We start from the raw sequence: 17,287 nt of genomic DNA on the forward strand, positions 1-17,287 counted from the left end.
TCTAAAAAGCAGCAACGCTTTCTGTAAACGGATCTCACAATTCAAAGAGCAATTTTATATCTGAAAAGTACAGAAACGACAGTGGGATTTCAATAAACTTAGAATTTTCTGGTTTTTGAGCCTGTGCTCTAAAAATACAGAAATCATTGATAAACCTAAAGCTGAGAAAAATTTAAAAGGCATAACCAGTTCAAAAAACAAAACACCATCTCTGTGGATCAGAGACTGCATAGAAACATACTGTGGTAGGAAGAAATGAAGTTGTAGGCTTCTGGGCTTCAGTCTGAAAACAGGCAAAGCAATTAGGGGCTCATAGTATATGGGATATGAACGGCAGTAAGTGTGCAGAAAAGGAGGCATGAACCAGAGCTAAATTCATTGAATAAAACCAGAAGAAGCTACGGCAGGGCTTCTCTTGACCATGAAAGGAGGGTAAAGTTTTAGTAAGCTGCTACCTAGAGAAAATGCTCATTTAGAGCATTTTCCGCAGCTTTGCCCCAGAACCTTTGCCAAACTGTTGTTGGGTTCAGTGACTGGATCTTCAATACAATGAAGCACAGAGCTATGAATATAAGGCCTACTTCTGAACAAAAAAACCTAGCAAGTGAGAGAAAGCAGCCACTCAAGCACTAAATAGGAAAAAGTAAGCAAAACAAACAAATTAAAACAAAAAGGGGCAGCAGCAGGAAGAACTCTTGAAGCCAGGAGTTTGAGACTAGCCTGGGCAAAACCACATTCTATAAAAAATCTTTTAAAAAATTAGCTGGTTATGGAGATGCATGCCTGTAGTCCTGGCTAATAGGGCTGAGGCAGGAGAACTACCTGAGCCCAGAAGTTCGAGACTGCGGTGAGCTTTCATCATGCCATTGCATTCCAGCCTGGGTGACAGAGCAAGACTCTGACTCTACAAATTTTATTTTTTCAAATGAGCTGGGCATGGTGGCACACACCTGTAGTCCTCTCTATTCCAGAGGCTGAGACAGCAGAATTGCTTAAATCTGTGAGTGCAAGGCTGCAGTGAGCTATGATTGCACCACTGCACTCCAGCCTATGTGACAGAGCAAGACTCTCTCTCCAAAAAAGAGAAAAACCCATAAAAAACAAAAAAGCAAATTTAGGATACCAGTTTACCTCTGAAGAAGATGGAAGATGGGGGAGGAAAGGGACTGAAGGGGAGTATAAAAGCAATGTATTTTTAATACTCATTTCTTTTTTAAAAAACAATCTGAAGTAAATGCAATATTAAAACTTGACAAAACTGAGTGTTGGGTGTTTATAAAATTATAAAATTTATATAATTTTATAAACTACAGACTATATAATTTTATAAAATATAAAAACATATTACTCTATTTTTTCTCTGAATATTTGAAATATTACATAAAAATTAAGAGAACATAAAAAAACAAAAATATAAATGAAAAATGAGAGGGCCGGGCACAGTGGCTCATGCCTGTAATCCTAGCACTTTGGGAGGCCAAGGTGGGAGGATTGCTTGAGCTCACAAGTTTGAAACCATCCTGGGCAAATATTGAGACCTCTACAATGAATAAACTTTTTTTTAAATAAAATTTTTAAAAAGAAAAAAGTTAAAGGAAAAAGAAAAGTGAGAATGTGAAGGACAACATGTAGAGCAAGGGACCCCAGCCCTGGGCCGTGGACTGGTACTGGTCCGGGGCCTGTTAGGAACCAGGCTGCATAGCAGGAGGTAAGCAGCAGTGGAACATGACCGACTAAGCTCTGCCTCCTGTCAGATCTGCGGCAACATTAGATTCTCATAGGAGCATGAACCCGATTGTGAACTGCACATGCAAGGGATTTAGGTTGTGTGCGTTATGAGAATCTAATGCCTGATGATCTGCGGTGGAACGGTTTCTCCTCAAACCATCCCCTCCCACTCTGGTCTGCAGGAAAACTGTCTTCCACAAAACCAGTCCCTGGTGCCAAAAAGGTTGGGGACTGCTGATGTAGACATCACAGGACCAGACCAGAGGGAAAAAAATGAATGGGAAAGTAGCAAGAGAAAAATACATGATCAAAATGGAGAAGAAAAAGGGGATTAAAAAATGCAGTTTAAGGAGGACTTGGTGTGGTGCTGCCATCTCTCCTGCCTTCAGTCTATGCACCTCTCACTGAACTTCCAATAGCACCATGTTGGAACAGGGCATCCAGAGGTTCACAACCTCTGTGGTCTACAGGAGGCATGAGGCACTATAAAGAGGGCTAAGGGAAGAACATGCTATTTTCAGTAGAAAATAAGTGGTGGTTACTAATTATAATGACTTTGCACTTTGGATCTGGATTTTATGCACATTTCTTTATAGTAAGACACCAACTGCTTAAGAAACAAGGATGTTTAATTCATCCATGAAACAGATATGAAGAGCATTTTAAGAGGTGCAATCTCTGAAAAATAAATCAAACCCTTGAATTTACATAGGATAATAGATATGTTTTAAATAAACTTATGACATAAGCCAGGCACAGTGGCTCATGCCTATAATCCCAACACTTTGGGAGGCCAAGGTGGGCGGATCACCTGAGCTCAGGAGTTCGAGACCAGTCTGGCTAACATGGTGAAACCCCGTTTCTACTGAAAATGCAAAAGTTAGCCAGACATGGTGGCAGGCATCTGTAATTCCAGCTACTCAGGAGGCTGAGGCATGAGAATCGTTTGAATCCAGGAGGCAGAGGTTGCAGTGAGCCTAGATCACACCACTACACTCCAGCCTGGGCGACAGACCGAGACTCCATCTCAAAACAAACAAACAAAACACAAAACTTATGGCATAAAAATGTGGTTTATTATTTCTTAAATTATAGATAAATTCTTAACATGTCTATATAGATTATGTAAAAGAATGAATATACAAAGAATGACTGAAAAAAACAGAATGAAGACAGAATAAGTGTTGAAATAGATTATTAGAGATACAGAAAGACATTAAAACAATTATCCTTGAACAGGGAAAAGATAGCTCTTCCTCTGAAACTTCAGTGAAAGAAATAAGAATTATTTCAAATACAGATTAGATAGATTTTGTAACTATAAGGGTTGGAATTTGAGTAAATCACACAGATAGCTTTAATTTTTTCTATGAAGTATGAGATATGCTCATCTGCTGAGCAGAAGGCAGGAGTAGAAAATGGAAGTAGGTTCAAAATAAATGTTTATTTGGGACATTTTAGCTGTATTTTACGAAATGGAAAGTGTGACTGGCCTGTAGATGAAACTGCTGGCACAGAGTAAAGTTGTGCTTTCTTTGAATTCACTCAGGGCAAAACAATAAATAAATGTATCCTGACAGAAAAACAAGGACACTTGATAATTGACTTGTGATGCATGACTTTTGTTCAATTCACCTCTATCAGAAATGGATTTGGGTATAGAGAAAACACATTTAATAATTTCATCTAGGCTGGGCATGGCGGCTCATGCCTATAAACCCAGCACTTTGGCAGGCCGAGGCAGACGGATCACCTGAAGTCAGGAGTTCGAGGCCAGCCTAGCCAACATGGTGAAACTCCATCTCTCCTACAAATACAAAAATTAGCGGGGCATGGTGGTGCATGCCTGTAATCCCAGCTATTGGGAAGCTGAGGCAGGAGAATCGCTTGAACCCAGGAAGCGGAGGTTACAGTGAGCCAAGATCATGCCATTGCACTCTAGCCTGGGCAACAGAGGGAGACTCTGTCTCCAAAAATAAAAAAATTACTTCATCTAACATATGAAACCAGACAGAAGATCCAGATTTTACAAAGAACTCTTCTTGCAAACACAAACCACAAACACACAAAACGCAGAAATAACTCAAATTATCTTGTTGCATTATTAGCTATAGTTTAGCAACTGAACGCAACTCCCTGAATTTTAACCTTGACATGCAAAATGTCTAAGAAATCCATCCTTTTCATTGTTCATCACTCATGTTTGCTGAACTCAAATACCTGATATCATAGGAACTGCTGTAGTGGAACTGAAACTTCGCTGAGGCAAAGCTACATAACAGCAGGTTGTGTTAATTACATAAAATCTTTTTTTTTTTTTTTTTTTTTTTTGAGACTCAGTCTTGCTTTGCCGCCCAGGCTGAAGTGCAGTGGCACAATCTCAGCTCACTGCAACCTCCACCTCCCGGGTTCAAGCAATTCTCCTGACTCAGCCTCCTGAGTAGCTGGGACTACAGGTGCATGCCACCATGCCAGGCTAGTTTTTGTATTTTTAGTAGAGACAGGGTTTCATCACATTGGCCAGGTTGGTCTTGAACTTCTGACCTCAGGTGATCCACCCACCTCCGCCTCCCAGAGTGCTGGGATTATAGGCATGAGCCACCATGCGGGGCCTAATTACATAAAATCTTGATAGTCATTTGAAGTTTGTGCTGTCCTCAAAGTTACTTGGTCTTCTAGAAGTTATGTTTCCAAAGAGATTTTATTCTGTCTCTACAACCCGATATCAGAAATACCACAAAGACTCAACTTAACATATATGATAACATTTAGCATCAGGAAGATCCAGAAAAAAAGAATCACCTTAGGCAGTTGAACTGAAAGAACTAAGAAAAAATATGCTAATCATGGTTATTGGTCCTAGATCCTTTTAACTACCTCCTTTAACCTCACATTCCAAGAGTACTTTTGGCTTAGAACATGATAGAAAATAGCAAAGAAGTGATAACTTGAAAGTGAAGATGAACCATCTGAAACATATGATTAAAAAGATTGAACTGCATTATTCTACTTTAAGATATACTTCTGATCAACTTATAAGACTATGTTTCATACTTTTCTGTCTCTGAATCCAGAACGTTTCTTCTTTTTCTCTTCTGGGTGAGGGGCAAGATCTGCAGTCTTTTTCTCATGGTTACAAACATCCCCTTCATCTTTATTCTTCCCTTTATCACCGATGTCACTTTTTAGGTTGTCTACACATGGTGGAGATTCTGCATGGGCCCTGGATATGCAAAAAAGAAATCTAGATTAATCTTGAACGTCCATCATACTAGACAAATAAGCAAACAGATACAGCTTAGCAGAGCAACAGCAATGAAATTTGTCAAATATTCTACATGAAGAAGTTCCTCAAAAAATATAAAATAGAACTTCCACATGATCTCTGGTTATATATCCCAAAGAAATGAAAGGGTCTCAAATAAATATTTGCACATCCATGTTCACAGCAGCACTATGCACAATAGCTGAAAGGTGGAAACAACTCAAAAGTCCATTGGCAGATGAATAAACAAAATGTGGTATATACAGATAATGGAATATTTTTCAGCTTTAAAAGGAAAGGAAATCCTGTCACAAGCTACAACGTGGATGAATCTTGAGGGCGTTATGCTAAGTGAAATAAACCAGTCACAAAACCACAAATATTGTATGACTTCACTTACATGAGTTACCTGGAATATTTAGATTTACAGAAACAGAAAGTAGAATGGGGGTTACCAGGGGCTGAGGGAAGGGGAAGCAAGGAAGTTGCTCTTGAATAAGTAGAGTTTCAGTTTTGCAAGATGAAAACGTTCTGGAGATCTGTTTCACAATGATGTGAATACCCTTTAAACTACTGAACTGCATATTTTAAAATGGTGAAGACATGTGACAGAAGCCCTCATCCACACGTCTTCCCATTGAAACCAGAGACGATGAGCCCTTCCAGTACAAAAACTAAATGTACTAGACTTCCAGCCATAGAGCGCCTCCTTGTTCTTCATCTCACTCCAACTCTTCCCATTCTCATTCTCCCCTTGTCCCAACTGTAACTGAAAGGGTGGAATATCAAGGTCTTTAGAAAAAAATGGTTAAGATGTAAGTTTTATGTTATGCACCTTTCACTACAATAAAAAGGAACATAAATAAAGAAGAAATAGGGGACCAAAATAATATAAGTATTTCTTTTTTAAAAAATAATATAAGTATTTCTGGTAGTTGAAGCCATTGCTGCAATGATATAATACTAAAATTAATTAAATATTACAGAACTGATGAAATACAAAAAGAAGACTTTTGCTTACAGCCATAATGGAGCAAACGATAATAGATCTGACTTCCTACCAGGGCAAAAATACAGAAAATTGAACAAAATATATCAAATGACTGCTTTCAGACACTGCACAGTATGCAACTCTCTAAGAAAATGGTGGCCTGGCCAGGCGTGGTGACTCACACCTGTAATCCCAGCACTTCGGGAGGCCGAGGTGGGTGGATCACTTGAGGTCAGGAGTTCGAGACCTGCCTAGCCAACATGGCAAAAAACCATCTCTACTAAAAATACAAAAGTTAGCCGGGTGTGGTGGTGCTTGCCTGGTCCCAGCTACTTGAGAAGCTGAGGCAGGAGAATGTCTTGAACCCAGGAGGCAGAGGTTGCAGTGAGCCGAGATTGTACCAATGTACTCCAGCCTGGGTGACAGAGTGAGACTCCATCTCAAAAAGAAAAAAAAAAAAAAAAAAAGAAAAGAAAAATGGAGGCCTATAATTGCCCAGAATTTCTGTCTGGAAACATTTTCTAGACCACAAAGAGGATCCCAAGCCAAATACAGTGATCTTGCTAAACTAAAGTGACAGAGATCAAAGTTTGGAAAACCTGAGGTGCCTGGAATTGGTGAGGCAGAGGACTCAAAAGGAAAAAGTCACACAGAGAAAGAGCTCCAAAAATGTACACAGAACACTCTCGAGTATTGAGTCAACACTCAGCAGTGCATTCTTAGGATGAAACTACACAAAGTAGTTGCCAAGGAGCCACAGGCCAGTCAATTTCCAGAGCTCACAAGCAGGAAACAATCAAGCTCTACCAAGTCAGACTAGAGGAACCTCACTGAACACCCAAGGCATTTAGTAACATCCCAGAAAGATCATGCTATATTAATAGGGCTAAGATAGCTCTAGAGGCTGGGCATGGTGGCTCATGCCTGTAATCCCAACACTTTAGGAGGCTGAGGTGGGCAAGTCACTTGACCCCAGGAGTTCAAGACCAGCTTGACCAACATGGTGAAACCCTATCTCTACTAAAAATACAAAAAAAAAAAAAAAATTACCCAAAGGATCATACATCATGCTGCTATAAAGACACACGCACACGTATGTTTATTGCGGCACTATTCACAATAGCAAAGACTTGGAACCAACCCAAATGTCCAACAATGATAGACTGGATTAAGAAAATGTGGCACATATACACCATGGAATACTATGCAGCCATAAAACATGATGAGTTCGTGTCTTTTGTAGGGACATGGATGAAGCTGGAAACCATCATTCTCAGCAAACTATCGCAAGGACAAAAAACCAAACACTGCATGTTCTCACTCACAGGTGGGAATTAAACAATGAGAACACATGGACACAGGAAGGGGAACATCACACGCCGGGGCCTGTTGTGGGGTGGGGGGAGGGGGGAGGGATAGCATTAGGAGATATACCTAATGTTAAATGATGAGTTACTAGGTGCAGCACACCAACATGGCACATGTATACATATGTAACTAACCTGCACGTTGTGCACATGTACCCTAAAACTTAAAGTATAATAAAAAAAAAAAAATTAGCCATGGTGGTGCACACCTGTAATCCCAGCCGGGCATGGTGGTGCACACCTATAATCCCAGCTACTTGAGAATTGCTTGAACCCAGAGGCAGAGGTTGCAGTAAGCTGAGATCATGCCACTACACTCCAGCCTGGGCGACAGAGCAAGACTCCATCTCAAAAAAACAAACAAACAAAAATAAAAAACAGAGAGTGACAGAGTCAGAAAAACAGTAACTATGTATTTTAAGAAAGAGAAGACTGTGGCTCACTACATTTTCTCTTCTTTCCAAGGAAGTTTCCATAACTAGTGAAAAAAATTATCAGGGACACTAAAGTACCAAGGTTCCTTTGTTAATTTCACAGGGTCACCAAATTGTGAAGTCTCAGAAAGCATTCATTTTCTTTTTTTTTTTTTTTTTTTTTTTGGAGACAGTTTTTCTCTGTCACCCAGGCTGGAGTACAATGGCACAATCTTGGCTCACTGCAACCTCCACCTGCCTCCCAGGTTCAAACAATTCTCCTGCCTCAGCCTCCCAAGTAGCAGGGACTACAGGCTCACGCCCTGTGTCTGGCTATTTTTTGTATTTTTGTAGAGATGGGTTTTTGCCATGTTGGCCAAGCTGGTCTCAAACTCCTGACTTCAAGTGATCCAACCACCTTGGGCTCCCAAAGTGCTGGGATTACAGGTGTAAGCCACCGCGCCTGGCCAGAAAGCCTTCATTTTCTAAAGCTGCTATTGCTATCCCTATCCCATTATTTAAAATGTTCAGCAGAGGAGACAGGCAGACCTTGAAGCACAGTGTTTCCTAAGTATTGCCTTAGCATGTTGAATTCTTTGAAACATCTTATTTCATAGACGAATATTAACAATACCAAATGATCCGAGCAAGAAATTCTGATACAGAGTTAAGCCAGAAATCAACTCCTTTCTGACAACAGAGATGACTGGAAGAATAAAAGTATACGCAAGAACAAGATGGTTGGATAACACTCACCTCTTCCACAAAAGACCAGTACTTGCAGTTACTGCAGATGCTCCCAGGAAAGCCACCATCATTAGTCTTCGCCGGATCTGGATGGGCTGTGATCCTCCATGGTACCATCGAGAACCCACAGCCAGTTCTGCCAAAGCAGAAAGTGAGTTCAGACGAAACATCCTGTGGACAATAAGTAGAAATGTCACTCTTAGCTAGTGGTAGTTATGATGATGATGATGATGATCCTACCAACATTTCTAATAAACACTAAAGTAATTGCTCTATGACAGGCACTATTCTAAACAATTTGCTTATATTATCCCATTTAATCCTCAGAATAATCTTATGAGCAAAGTACTACTTATAAAACTGATATATTAGTCAAAGTACAATTAGAAGACAGAAACCACATGATAATTTGAGTATGAAACTTTTAATATAAAACATTATTAAGGCCAGGTATGTGGCTCATGCCTGTAATCTTAGCACTTTGGGAGGCCAAAGAGAGAGGATCATTTGAGCCCAGGAGTTGAAGAACGGCCTGGACAACATAGTAGGACCCCATCTCTACCAAAAAAAATCAGCCAAGCATGGTGACATGCACTTGTAGTCCCAGCTATTCAGGGGGCTGAGGTGAGAGCACTACTTAAGCCCAGGATGTTGAGGTGACAGTGAGCTATGATCAACAGAGCAAGATGCTGTCTCAAAAAAATGAATAAAATAAATAAAAAATAAAAAATTATTAGTTACAACAGGAAATTTACTACTCAGAAGTTAAAGAAATAGCAGATATAGGGAGCAGTTACTATTCTAGATCTGACACAGAGCACCAAGAAAAGACCAGTCTATAAAAGGTCTACTCTCACTCACAGGGCAGAGATCAGACTGTGTGGAGAGGGCACAGCTATGTATGTCAGAGAAACTTACTAAGGTGCCATGCCAGCAAAATGCACTAGAAAGCCACTCTCTGTGATGCCAGAACAAGTCATCTACTGGACAACTCATGCCAGCGGAATTTGTTGGGAAGCTGACCTTCGCGATGCCAGGGGAAGCCACCCATGGGGAGGCAGTTTCACTAGGAAATTGCATATGAGAGTTGCTGCTAAAACTCCTTAGGAGCTGGGTGCCATTGAGTGTCCCACTAGTTCCTGCATGCTATAGAAGCAAGCCACAAAGGGCACACTAGACTCAGCAAGAAACACCCCTCCTCCAGGGTCCTTCTAGTCTCTCTACTGACAAAGTTTAACAGTAACTGGCAAGGGAAAAACTTCCAGTATCACAAACGGGACAATGAAAGATGTGTTTAGAGCTGAAATGAAAAAAGATAACTGGTACCCATATTTTACAGATCTAAAATATAACTTGCTCAAGAGTACAAAGGTAGGAAGTGATAGATCTAGAATTTGAACCTAGGGAGGACTAATTCCATACTTCAATGTCTCGGAGTTAGGTAGGGAGACTTCAACCTAGGAGGGGAGACTTTGCTGCCCCCTACCTTATAATGCTGACACTGCTTTGAAGTTTTTATTAAATATTTTTCACACCCAGGTCCTTGGAAGCCCTCCTCCCTACCAGATTCTCTATAGTTCAAACTTCACTTAAAAAAAAATTCTTTTAATGTTTTGTTTTAAATCTGAAACATCTGTATTAGTGCATATTACTGTTCAATAAATACTTACTCTTCCATCCCCCATCCCTTAGGCAAAATTACTTTTCTACTTTTTTCTTCCCCTTCTGCATATGAATGCCAGGTCATAAATTTCCTTCTCTTTAAGTTTTTGGCGTATGTCTTGCCATATGTCTTGCTCTAACCAATGGAATGTGGACCAGTTCCATGAAGTGCTTTTAGGAGGTGCTGCTGTTAGTTTTCTTGTGTTCCTGCACTCCATCGAGGGAAGACCATGTCCCAAAGAGACACTGATCCTTCAAACTGGCATCCATAATGAACAGACTTCAGCCTGGAATAAACCACTGTCAAGCCCAGCTGAGCCAGCTGAGCACAGCTGACCTGTAGAATGCTGGTGAGAAATAAATGTGTGTAACTGTAAGCTGCAAAGATTTGGGTGTTGTTTGTTGCCCCATCAATAGCCAACTAATTCAGCATCCAAGATAATTACTGGGAAGTTCTTATTCTTTTTTTTTTTTTTTTTTTTTTTGAGACTGAGTCTTGCCCTATCACCCAGGCTGGAGTACAGTGGCGCAATCTCGGCTCACTGCAACCTCCACCTCCCGGGTTCAAGCGATTCTCCTGTCTCAGCCTCCTGGGTAGCTGGGATTACAGGCACACGACAACCACACCTGGCTAATTTTTGTTTTTTTAGTAGAGACAGGGTTTCACCATGTTGGCAAGGCTGGTCTCGAACTCTTGACCTCAAGTGATCCATCCGCCTCGGCCTCCCAAAGTGCCGGGATTACAGGCATGAGCCACCGCGCCTGGCTGGGAAGTTCTTATTCAACAAAAATTTATTAAATTCATACTGTATATACATCCCTATGTGAGACCCAGAAAGCCAAAAACTATCTACATTCTAATTAAACAAGATAAATACAAAACACTTTTAAAACAATACATTTCTAAAATCATATATATGCATATATATATATATATATATATATATATATATTTTTTTTTTTTTTTGAGATGGCGTCTCACTCTGTTGCCCAAGCTGGAGTGTGGTGGCATGATCTCAGTTCACTGCAACCTCTGCCTCTCGGATTCAAGCAATTCTCCTGTCTCAGCCTCTTGAGTAGCTGGGACTACAGGCACATACCATGATGCCTGGCTAATTTTTGCATTTTTAATAGAGATGGGGTTTCATCATGTTGGTCAGGCTGGTCCCAAACTCCTGACCTCAGGTGATCTACCTGCCTCGGCTTCCCAAAGTGCTGAGATTACAGGCGTGAGCCACCACACCCGGCCTAAAATTATATCTTGAAGTATAGAAATATTATGATAGAAATGACAGAAAACTACAAATAAAAAAGATAAAGTTGAGACTGGGTTAGTCAGCAAAAGCTTTTGTTTAGTCTTAAGCCTCAGAATGGTGTAAAATTTTGATTAAGTCAGAGAAATGTTGAGACACCCCCAAAACCATAGGATCATTTCGGGCACCTCCATCCAGAGAATTAATGTAAATGATTTTTTTCCCTCTAGATTATGACCTTCAGGGCTCAGTATAGTACCTCACTGTTTTAATGCACCAGATGGGCTGATGGAAGAAGAGGCATTTCTTTACAGTCCCACTTTTTTGTAGAGGTAATTCATTCAAATTATACAAAGAATCCATGCCCCCTTTGATTTTTCTCAAAGCACAGTTCACTGATTCCTAAATTTTTGTGTGTGTGTTTTGAGATGGAGTCTTGCTCTGTCGCCAAGGCTGGAGTACAGTGGCATGATCTTGGCTCACTGCAACCTCTACCTCCTGGGTTCAACCAATTCTCCTGCGTCAGCCTCCCAAGTTGCTGGGATTACAGAAGTGTGCTACCATGCCCAGCTAATTTTATATTTTTAGTAAAGACGGGGTCTTACCATATTGGCCAGGCTGGTCTCGAACTCCTGACCTCAAGTGATCTGCCCGCCTTGGCCTCCCAAAGTGCTGGGATTACAGGTGTGAGCCACCATGCCCAGCCCACTGATTCCTAATTTAAACTACTTTGCACTTTGTACATATCTTCCTATGGCATACGTAATTTTTTCTCCCCTTGCCTCAAGGCCCAAATTATTTTTTTTTTCAAGTTGTAAACACATAGTCTAGCACAGGACTTGTTACATTATTAGTGCTTAAAATACTTAACCATTTTACTTTCACATGTCTGTGTACAAACTATACAGGTACTTGCTCCTAACATTTAAGTATACTCTAAGTTCCTAATTTACTTAGAAAACTGTCTTCTATTATTTGGATTCAAGTCAGGTTAGACTACTTAGGCATCTCCTAAAATCAATGAGCTGGTTACTATTAACTCTTCCCTGGGACCTATACCTATAATCTCTTATGTAAACTTTGCTCCTAGCTCCCTTCATCCAATCTAGGTCCAATTTTGAAATTGGACCTAAATCTTGCCCTCATATAGACAAAATGGAAAAACTGTTAATCTTTTCTCCTATTTTCCATGACCTAAGCTTTAATAACACAATTCTTATATCCTTCCCCAATCCCAGAAATCATCTCATTTTATTGCACATACTCTAGCAAAATCCAGCACCCAGGAGGCTGTCCATTATATTTTCTTCCTGTCTGGCAACTTCTGATTTTTTTTTTTTTGGTTCATTTCAAAATTAACATTTCTCAAATCCACATGTACACTCACATAAATAGCACTGCTCTTCGCTACAGCAAAAATGAGCACTAAACTAAAACATGCATATCTGGAGGAAACATTATTCATCACTGACAACAGAAAGAACAGACACTTGGAAGTTTTCAATGTTTAAAATAAATAACAGCCAATTCAAAAGTTGGAACAGGATGAGTGCAGTGGCTCACACCTGTAATCCCAGCACTTTGGGAGGCCACGGCGGGCAAATCACTTGAGGTCAGGAGTTCGAGACCAGCCTGGCCAACATGGTGAAACCCTGTCTCTACTAAAAATACAAAAATTAGCTGGGCCTGGTGGCAGGCGCCTGTTATTCCAGCTATTCAGGAGGCTGAGGGAAAAGAATCACTTGAACCGAGGAGGCGGAGGTTGTAGTGAGCCGAGATTGTACCACTGCACTCCAGCTTGGTTGACAGAGTAAGACCCTACCTCAAAAAGCCAAAAGTTCTAACAGGCAAGGGGTATATAAGCCTGGAAGATAAATTTACAACATCTGATCAGATGTAGAGAACAGCTAGACATATGATCAACTAAGTAAGCCACAATCACTTGAGAAGGACCTTTGAATGCCAGACCAAGAATTTAGAGCATATGTAAAATAGGAAGCCACTCAAGTTCTTTAATAGGAAGAGATCATGGTAAAAACGGGTTAAAGCATTATCAGTCTATCTATTAGCAGTGCATGGAATAAACTGCAAAGAAGCAAAGGCAGAGAGAGCTGACAGGAAAGTGATGAGTACAGCCAGAAGGCATTAATAACCTAGGTATTGGGTGATGAGTGCCTAGATTATAAGTGTAGAAATAAAAAACAGAATCAAACAAAAAATTTCCAAAGAAAAACAAAATGTAGTTGGGCATGGTGGCACACGTCAGCTACTTAAAGAGGCTGAGGTGGGAGGATAGCTTGAGCCCAGGAGTTTAAGTCCAACATGGGCAACATGGTAAAACCCCACCTCTAAAAAAAAAATAATGATAAAGACATTGGTATCAAACACATATTAATATCTAATTGCACAGGAGATATGGAAGATAAAAAGGAGAAATAAATTAAAACAATAACAACAACACTAGGTACTATGGTAAAAAAAAAAAAACAAACACTAAGTAGTATGGCAGAAATCCAATGATCCAAGATCTGGTCTCAACTGTACTACTCAACAGCTAGCTGTATATACTAAAGAAGCTCATCCCTCCTCCTTGGGAAAAAAGCTCACTCACTGGTAAAATGAAAGAATTGCGTAGGTGAGCTTAGGGTTCCTTTTATCTCTTTAGCACTCTCATATCTTTGGTAGAAAACACTATAACAAAATTTAATTAATTTCATTTAGGAGAAAAGACTAAGATCATATAAAGTATTCAAGATTTATTAGTTTGGGCAATCCATTTCTATATGCTATGGCTCTAGGGGATTTCAAACTTTGAAAGTTCTGAGTTTTACCAACTCAGACCCAGATAAGTTATGTGATTTCCTCATAGCTAATTAGTACAAAAACCTATAACAGATCCTTGCATTTTTGACTCCCAAATAAACTTAATGAGAAAAACCTGTTTAATAACTGTTCTCAGCAGAAAAAATATAACAGCCACACTCTAAAAGTAGATCAAATGCCCAACTACAGAAAAATAAATGATGCTATAATAACATAATGGAATGGAATGTAAATATTAAAAATGATAATAATAAAATATTATTAAAATATTACTTCACAAACCAACAGAAAGTTGGGTAAAGATATAAAAAGACAGTTGGAAAAGAAAAATGGCTCCGAAAACTGTGAAAAGATACTTAATCTCACTCATAATAAAATAATGCAAATTAAACCTATACTCAGATACTTTTCACCCATCAAACGGGCAAAAATCAAAAAGTTTGAAAACACATTTGTTGACAATGTTGCAGAATGGCACTACTGATGAACATGCAAATCTGTACAATTTATGGTGGGCAATTTGGTAATTTGCATTAAAATTACTCATATAATCTGCATATACTGGCCTAGAAATTCCACTTCTAATAATATACCCTACTGATGTACTTGCACACTTGTGAAATTATGCACATGTATATGGTGCATAATTATTATATCATAGTTTATAATAGCAAAACACTAAGAACTACCCCAATGTTCACCAAGAGAGATTGGTTAAAGTATGATAAATCTATATAAAGCAATACCACATAGCAATAAAGAGAATGAGAAAACTTTATGTAAAAACATGAAAAAAGTTCATAGTGTTATCTTTTTAAAAGCAATAGGCCAGCCGCAGTAGCTCATGCCTGTAATCCCAGCAGTTTGGAAGGCCAATATGGGAGGGTCACTTGAGTCCAGGAGTTTGAGACCAGCCTGGGAAACATAATGAGACCCCCATCACTACAAAAAAAAAAAAAAAAAAAAAAAAAAAACTAAGGCAACATATGGAATACCACATACAGTATGCCACCTTTCATATAAAAAAGGAGAAAATAAGAACGCATATGTACTTATTAAGTAACAACACACTCACAAAAAGTAATAGTAGTGGTGCTGGTGGGAGTTGGAAATAAGATAACATACAGAGAGATTTTTATGATATGCTATTTCATTTGAAACAAAATTTATGTATTTATCCATGCAAACAAATGTACAGTATTTCATATTAGCATTTTCATTTAAGTTTAAAGGAAGAATATAAGGTAATATGCACATGCCAATTAAACTTTGTAAAATATATAATCACATGGTTAATTTTTTATTTATAAATAAAATTTAAATTAGGCAAATAAAATTTAATGCTCCCCTAGGGATTTTATTTAAACTTTTTCATTTAAGTAAAAATAAAGGCAGGCCCAGAAGGCAGTTGTTGCATTCCCCTCAGCCAGGAACTGTCACTTACCAGCCCCACCACTGAGCTCAGGCCCAATAATGTCTCAACAATCAAGGCACATTATGGCAAGCTTCCCTAGTGAGATAAACTTTATGTAAATCAAGCTCATATCCTTTTATTTTGAGTACTGGCACATTCTTACACAAATTAGCAAACTATTACAATTCCAGACCATATCCTTATCCTGACTTAAAATTTCTGCTTGCCTTTTTATATTTGATTTACCCCCTTATATTTCTGACCCCTGACAACTGCACATTTAGAGAATGACTACTTGGCTCTTCCAATCCTTGCACTGGCCTAAATAAACCTCTCCTGTACTATTAACCAACTATTACCCGACACTGTTGTTGAAAGCAGCACCTGCTAACTCTGTGGCCAAGAAACATATCTGAGATCTACCCAGATCTGGCCACCAATTAAAGTGAGAACTCAGTTAAATAAAATGTCAGCCGGGCGTGGTGGCTCACGCCTGTAATCTCAAGTACTTTGGGAGGCTGAGGTAGGTGGATCACCTGAATTCAGGAGTTCAAGACCAGCCTGACCAACATGGTGAAATCCCATCTCTCCTAAAAATACAAACATGGTAGCACATGCCTGTAATCCCAGCTACTCGGGAGGCTGAGGCAGGAGAATCGCTTGAACCCAGGAGGTGGAGGTTGCAGTGAGCTGAGATTGCACCATTGCACTCCAGCCTGGGCAGCAAGAGTGAAACTCCATCTCAAAAAAATAAAATAAAATAAAAAATAAAGATGGGGAAATAATGAGATAATAATGATAATAATGATTTATTGGACATTATGCAGGTTTTTGTGTGGCACAAGCAAGAAGAGTATGTCAGTCTAAAAAAAAGATACTAAGGAAAATTATCCCCAAATATGTTGAATTTATTCGGGAATGAGAAATGAGAATTATAATCTAGAATGCATGGGATGGCAAGTCACCAGCGTATCCAGTGAGGAAAGGATAAAGGGAAGCTTTATTAGGAAACAGGCAGAGATTCACTTAAGCTGCTTAGAAACAGAGTTCACTTGTTCCAGAGGCCCAAAGCCATTGCTGTTGTTAGTTCACTGGTGGAGATGCCATTACTGGGCAAGTGTTCTTTTGAGAGCACTGGACAAGTGCGCTCAAAAAAAGGACTAGGTTTATTACTAGTTGTAAAGAATGTCTAGTAATAAACCTTCTCAAAATAGGAGATGCCCGGATGATGTCAAAGAGTTTCTTGTGGGATTTTTAGAAAGTTCCTGAAAATGGTTCTGTCTTTTCTCTCTCTCTCAATTTTTACGGAGATGGGGTCTTGCTGTATTGCTAAGGCTAGTTTTGAACTCCTTGTCTCAAGCAATCATCCTGCCTCAGCATTCCAAGTCCATGGGATTACAGGTGTGAGCCACCATGCCCAACTTTTTGGAAACACTCATCTCACACATGTAAGCAGCAGTCTCCTCTGTCTGTGGCCTTCCTGGCCCTATTTTGTTTGGATCTAACAAAAGTGATTCATCCTAATATCTGTAACTTTCACAAATATTTGTATTTTTTTACATTTTTAATAGCTTTAATTGTACAAATAATATAAAAATAAATTTTCATTGTCTAAAATGTTACA

At 39.4% G+C, this 17,287-nt stretch overlaps 1 protein-coding gene and 1 pseudogene across 22 annotated transcripts in view, besides 1 other annotated feature; one reads left to right on the forward strand and one right to left on the reverse strand.

The window, feature by feature from the left end:
* The window catches only part of MICU1 (mitochondrial calcium uptake 1), a 258,740-nt gene that overhangs the window by 190,773 nt on the left and 50,680 nt on the right, over window positions 1-17,287 (reverse strand). For 20 of the 22 annotated variants that reach the window (NR_199811.1, NR_199809.1, NR_199810.1 and 17 more), the window contains 2 exons: window positions 8,521-8,682; window positions 4,783-4,951 (listed from right to left, as the gene is read on the reverse strand). The exons of 1 other annotated variant lie outside the window; for it this stretch is intronic. Coding sequence is in view for 15 of the 21 variants with exons in the window: in NM_001441229.1 (NP_001428158.1) it covers window positions 4,783-4,951; window positions 8,521-8,681 (330 nt within the window). In the remaining 6 variants the exon portion in view is untranslated. The remainder of the gene's footprint in view (window positions 1-4,782; window positions 4,952-8,520; window positions 8,683-17,287) is intronic. One more of the 22 variants, NM_001441226.1, reaches the window with a different exon arrangement.
* On the forward strand, window positions 2,152-2,344 carry COX7CP4 (COX7C pseudogene 4; annotated as a pseudogene).
* Window positions 3,844-3,953: a silencer, noted in NCBI's record as "silent region_2475". NCBI's record gives its function as "represses an Ori minimal core promoter by ATAC-STARR-seq in GM12878 lymphoblastoid cells {active_cell/tissue: GM12878}" and the evidence as "EXISTENCE:reporter gene assay evidence [ECO:0000049][PMID:35858748]".

The sequence above is a fragment of the Homo sapiens genome, chromosome 10 (assembly GCF_000001405.40).
Source record: "Homo sapiens chromosome 10, GRCh38.p14 Primary Assembly".
Taxonomy (NCBI): Eukaryota; Metazoa; Chordata; class Mammalia; order Primates; family Hominidae; genus Homo; species Homo sapiens.